The sequence below is a fragment of the Homo sapiens genome, chromosome 19, assembly GCF_000001405.40.
Source record: "Homo sapiens chromosome 19, GRCh38.p14 Primary Assembly".
NCBI lineage: Eukaryota > Metazoa > Chordata > Mammalia > Primates > Hominidae > Homo > Homo sapiens.
Window position 1 is genome coordinate 33815808 of NC_000019.10, and position 6127 is coordinate 33821934.

The window sequence follows — 6127 nt, forward strand, 5'->3', positions numbered from 1 at the left end:
GTACTCCAGCATTGGTCCTCGGGAACCACCACTCCCCACACTTGGGACCTGGTGTGGCTACTGAGTAGGACCTTAACATCCCAAGTCCCAAATCCCAAAGCTTCCTGATTTGAGGACTGACCAGAGAGCAGCAGCGTTGTCTCTAGGCGCTCAGTGCACATGCTGTTGGCAGATCTGGCGGGGAAAATGGTGCAGGCATGGCCTCCCTTTACCTCTCCAGACCCCCAAGCCTGGACTCAAGTGTTCAGGCTGTGATGAGCATGTTGCACTACGTTGGTGTTGCATACATGTATATCTGTGGACCAAACCACTAACATTCAAAAGAAGGAAAGTGGGCGGGTCACAGTGACTCATGCCTGTAATCCCAACACTTTGGGAGGCTGAGGCGGGTGGATTGCTCCAGCACAGGAGTTCAAAACGAGCCTGGGCAATTTGGTGAGACCCCATCTCTACAAAAGAATTTAAAAATAAGCCACTCATGGTGGCATGTGCCTATAGTCCCAGCTACTCAGGAGGCTGAGGTGGGAGGATCACTTGAGTTCAGGAGGTTGAGGCTGCAGTGAGCCATGTTCACACCACTGCACTCCAGCCTAGACAACAGAGCAAGCCCCGTCTCAAAATAAATAAAATTAAAAAGAGAAAGCATGGCTGGGTGTGGTGGCTCACACCTGTAATGCCAGCACTTTGGGGCCAAGGTGGGTGGATCCCCTGAGGTCATGAGTTCAAGACCAGCCTGGCCAACATGGCAAAACCCCGTCTCTACTAAAAATACAAAAAAAAAAGGATTAGCTGGGTGTGCTGGCATGTGCCTGTAGTCCCAGCTACTCGGGAGGCTGGGGCACGAGAATCGCTTGAACCCGGGAGGCAGAAGTCGCAGTGAGCCGAGATCGCACCACTGCACTCTAGCCTGGCGACAGAGCGAGGCTCCATCTTAAAATAAAAAAATAATTAATTAAAAAAAAAGGGAAGCACAGATGTGAGAAATGGGGAAACTATATCCATTGAGCCACTGACCAAGATAATATTTAACTTGACTAAGCCTAGCAGAGCCTGCCCACTTCCCCTCCCTAGAGGCCAACCCATGTTCTCGAGGCAATGCTGTCTGCCAAGATGGCCCCATCCCATCAAGCCCTGCCTTCCCTCCTGATTCTCCAGAGACAGGAAAATGGCTGCATTGGCCCTGGAAGATACTCAATTTCTCCTAAGTAGATGACAAGGTGGAAAATACAAAAATGGGAAACTGCCAGGGGATATTCAGTTGGAGGCAGGAAATCTGCCTCAGTTCAAAACAATAGGGAGGTCTAGACAGAGCTAGAGGGACAACTGATGGCCAGAGAAGGCAGCCGCTGGCCTGGATGGAGTCTGACATCTGGGCTGATGTAGCTGTTGTAGGAAGTAGGATGTCACAGGTTGATGGCCATCTCAAGGGGGGTAGGCAATGTGTTTAGCCACAAGGCTCAAGTCAGCCAAGTAATATTGGTCTTGTCACATGTGTGATGAGAATGTGGGTGGCTCTCTTTGCTCACCCCAACCCCGCCCAAAGGAGGAGTTTCCTTGTAGAGAGAGGGCTTGCCCTCACCTGGAGATCAGGGGCTGGCAGCTGTCTTATCTCTGATGGAAGATTTGATGTGGAGTTACCTGCACTGAAGAGTCTGGGTCACTGTATAGGGTAAAAGCCCACATCGTTAACTGCCACAAATTTTAAAATTTTCTACAAATGGATTTGCTTAGAATGAATGGTAAGAAAAGGGTCAGGTGCAGTGGCACACACCTGTAATCCCAGCACTTTGGGAGGCCAAGGTGGGTGGATCATTTTAGGTCAGGAGTTCGAGACCAGCCTGGCCAACATGGTGAAACCCTGTCTCTACTAAAAATACAAAAATTAGCCAGGCATGGCGGTGCGTGCCTGTAGTTCCAGCTACTCGGGAGCCTGAGGCAGGAGAATCGCTTGAACCTGGGAGGCAGAGGTTGCAGTGAGCCGAAGTCTCACCACTGCACTCCAGCCTGGGTGACAGAGTGAGACTCCTTCTCAAAAACAGGAAAAAAAAATGGTAAGAATAGAAAGATGATATTAATGCATATGTGTCAAAAGCAGCTCCTGCCTTTATTAGTGAGAAGTTTCTCATTAGATCAAATGAAGTTTCTTGTCAGTATCCAGAGAAACCTACAAAGGCATCACAAAGATAAAGCTCTAACGTCCAACATAAAGCCCGAGACAAAAGATGGTCTAGAGCACCTGCTTGGAGGAAGGTCTATCCAGGAACAACTGTATTTAGGTTAAACTGCTAAATTCACCAACTAGGGCAGAGAGGCACAGAAACATTCCCTCCAGAACCCCTTTCCATTAAGAGTTCACTCCTGTCACCACATTCTAGGCAGCCCCGATGTTCTCTGGAGGACCGGTGAGGTAAGGTAATGCTTTGTGGACTAACAGAAAGAAAAAAGTGTTGGTGACAGCTAAGGGCAGCTTCCTGCCAGCACCAAGACTAGCGCTGATGTTCTCTTAGAAGCACCAGAGTTTTCTAAGGTGACCCAAATGGAACACAACCCCAGGGAAGGTTGAAAGTCAGAAAAGAAGAGCGCGTCTCTGCTCTTTCTGGATCTCACAACCAGCGAGTTCTCGCAGCCATGGCCTCTGTAAGCCCAGGGACATTTCTCTGTGAGCTTTCATTGGAAGGGAAACCCCAGCCCCAGAGAAGCCTACCCCGCCACATCCCAGGCTAATCCCTGGATCTGGTTCAGGAGCTCTCTTCCTGCAAGCCCCAAAGCTAGACAAGCAGAGCCCTGCCAGGCCCATGGTGACCTCTGCAGACCTAGGAACTGCAGGCAGAGTTGGGGGCTCGTTCCTGGGGAGGGGCCCACCCCTGAGGTTGTGCATCCAGGAGGGGCCCACCCCTGAGGTTGTGCATCCAGGCATGACTGACTGTTGGTAGCTGTTTACCCTCAGGGAAAGAGAACTTTCTGTGTTTTTATCTCCACCCCCAGTGGAAGGATATGTTGAGTAGAGTTTTTGCTTTTTGAGGAAAAGTCATGATTTGGAAAGGGGCGCTGATGTATCTGTTGAGGCTTTGGATGTTGATTTTTAAAGGGTCCCTGCTTCCCTGCAAAGATCCTTATCTTCACAACCACCCAAGAGCACCACTTATTGGTGGCCAGCATATGCCAAGCACTGCAGGTGCTTGGGAGGGCAAGATAGCTCATGAGGCTTGGAGCAGACATTTGTTTATGCACAGGAATTGTTCACTTTTTTTCTTCTCCTTTTTTTTTTTTTTTGTGAGACAGGGTCTCACTCCGTTGCCCAGGCTGGAGTGCAGTGGTGCAGTCTTGGCTTACTGCAACCTCTGCCTCCTGGGTTCAAGCGATTCTTGTGCCTCAGTCTCCCGAGTAGCTGGGATTACAGGTGTGCACCACCACGCCCAGCTAATTACTGTATTTTTAGTAGAGGCGGGGTTTTGCTTTGTTGGCCAGGCTGGTCTTGAACTCCTGGCCTCAAGTGATCCTCCCACCTTGGCCTCCCAAAATGCTGGGATTACAGGTGTGAGCCATTGCGCCCAGCCAGGAATTGTTTACTTTCAATTGTGTACTTGAAGCTCTGTAAATTTAACAGGAAGAGAGACCACATTGCAGTTTTCCACTTCGTCATGACACTGAACATGGATTACCCCAAATGCATTGATTTGCATGTAGAGAGAACCACCTCTCAGGCCTCAAGACTAGCGTCTCCATAGCAAAGGAAGCTTCTGTGAAATTCTAATGAGAGACCCAGAGAAAGAGGCAGGCACACTCCCGGGGACACACAAAGGAGAGGGGTTAGGGGTCAGCTGCATTTGGGGTTTTGTCTTTATTTCCATTACACAGAACAGCCAGTCCCGACAGCGCCCAGGCCCCACAGGACAATGCTGTTCCTGGACCCGGAGCCATGGCCGTGGAATAAGAGCTAGGTCTTCAGGGCCTCCTCCTAGGATCCTTCTTAACACAGAAATCACAAACCAGGCCAAAGTCTTAAAAAGCAGAGCCTGGGAGGGGCAGGGACGCCCAAGCCACGCTGGGGCCCGGGAGGCCTCCCGTCCTGCCCGCGGGAGAACCCAGGCCGCGCATCCCTGGCTGGACGGCGTCACCAGCCGTAGCTGGGCCAGGCCTGCTGCTCAAAGCCCGTGTCTAGGATGTCACCAGAGCTCCCTTTTCTGTGTCCTGGACCCGGTTCAGGGCCCCCGAGGAAGCTGCGGTTTGGGGCGAGCCGATTGCACCAGCAGGGCCGGGCTGCTGCTCCCGGGGCTGACGCGGGCCACGCCCTCCTGGACGCGGACACACCCCCATTTCCCCGGGCCCACAGAGCCACGCCTGGCCCTGCAGCCAAACAGCGGGAAGGCAGATTGGTACGAGTAGGTACAAGGCCCTGGAATTCTCGCCCGGTTGCCACACACTGCACGGAGCATAATTGGGGGAGGTTGTGCAACTGCCCGGGAAGCCGGGGCTCGCAACGAGGGCTCTCTCCAAGTCCCCATCACAGGCCTCCGGGGAGCCTCGGGACAGAGCCTGACGCCACCTTCGGGTGACATCGATGGCCTCGCTCTGGCAGAGGAGTAGTGTGGCTCTGCCGAGAACTGGGGAGCCCGGGTCCCCGCAGGGCCAAGGGGAGGGAGGGCTGGCGGAAGGGGCCGCGCCCACAGCCCCAGGTGGCAGCAGCGGCGGTGGCGGTCCCGACTGGCAGAGCCTAACGAGAACAGGGCCTATCCCCAGGGGCCCCGGGCTGGACGCAGACCAGATCTCGCGGGGGTGGGCTGGGAGGCGCCCGCCAGAGGCCGGAGGCTGACAGTGCCTTTCCTATCCTATGGGTCTATTGTGGGCCCGCGGAGCCCCCATGGGTGGGTCCATCCCCGGGCCCAGTGAGTCACTTCCCCAGGCCCCGGAGGCCTTCGTGGAAGGTGCCTCCCTTTCCGGCAAAGCATCCTTTGTTCTCCTGCTGGCTTTGCTTCCCAATCCTCTCTGAGTTGCAACCTTGAGGGTTTTAGGGGCACCAAGCTCCCAGGAGCACAGAGGTGGGCTTGGGTGCCACCTGGAGAGCGGGCTGCAGAAGGCTGCAGCTGCTTTTTTGCTTCCTCAGTTCCCTGCCCTCTCAAGGCCCAGGCTCTCCCACCTCCCCAGACGTCTGGGGAAACCCACACTGCCCTGCATAGGTTGTGGTGTGCAGCCTCCGGACTGCAGATCCTGAACGCGCATCAGGAGGGAGGGAGGGAGGTTTCGATGCTCTCGCCCTGGCCAGCACCGCTCTGAGTTGCTGAACTGGCCTCAAGGCTTCTCTTGCATCAGGGAGAGGCTTCCGGCACCACCACTGGCACTCCTCCTTCTCCCTCCCTTTAGCCTCCCCCAGTTCCCATGCCCAGGTGGAGGAACCCGTGTAGAAGCCCAGCCCAGGGAGGGAATTCATCAAAGCACCTTCCCACACAGCCTCTAGTTTGCCTCCTCTCCACTCCCACCTTCCAGCCCCAGCCTGGCTAGCCACGTGGGGGGCTCCTGTGCCAAGGAGTGCCCAGCTGCCGGGTGAGTGAGCAGCCCTGCACAGAAGGCAGCTGACTACCATACACACTACATGTGTGGAGAGCACCAGCCTTGCAGCCTGGCGAGGCTCTTGCTTTGAAGAAATAGAAGACTAATTATTTTATTTATTTATTTATTTATTTATTTATTTATTTATTTATTTATTTTTGAGATGGAGTCTTGCTCTGCCACCCAGGCTGGAGTGCATTGGTGTGATCTTGGCTCACTGCAACCTCCACCTCCCAGGTTCAAGTGATTCTCCTGCCTCAGCCTCCCGAGTAGCTGGGATTACAGGCGCCCACAACCACGCCTAGTTAATTTTTGTGTTTTTAGTATATGTGCTGCTGAAGTGAGCATGAATTTTTGTGTTTTTAGTACAGATGGGGTTTCACCATGTTGGACAGGCTGGTCTTGAACTCCTGACCTCAAGTGATCTACCCTCCTTGGCTTCCCAAAGTGCTGAGATTACAGGTGTGAACCACGGCACCCAGCCAGAAAACTAATTTCAAAACAAAAACAAAAGCACCCCTGTATGCACAGATTCTCAAATTGTATTTACTATTGGCAAAGAAAGGAAGGGGGCCCCTTA

At 53.5% G+C, this 6127-nt stretch overlaps 3 annotated features.

The window, feature by feature from the left end:
* Window positions 4449-4648: an enhancer, noted in NCBI's record as "active region_14447". NCBI's record gives its function as "activates an Ori minimal core promoter by ATAC-STARR-seq in GM12878 lymphoblastoid cells {active_cell/tissue: GM12878}" and the evidence as "EXISTENCE:reporter gene assay evidence [ECO:0000049][PMID:35858748]".
* Window positions 4449-5521: a biological region, named in NCBI's record as "H3K27ac-H3K4me1 hESC enhancer GRCh37_chr19:34311239-34312233".
* Window positions 4527-5521: an enhancer, noted in NCBI's record as "H3K27ac-H3K4me1 hESC enhancer chr19:34311239-34312233 (GRCh37/hg19 assembly coordinates)". NCBI's record gives its function as "activates a minimal SCP1, AML or CMV promoter by ChIP-STARR-seq in naive H9 embryonic stem cells {active_cell/tissue: H9 hESC(naive)}" and the evidence as "EXISTENCE:reporter gene assay evidence [ECO:0000049][PMID:30033119]".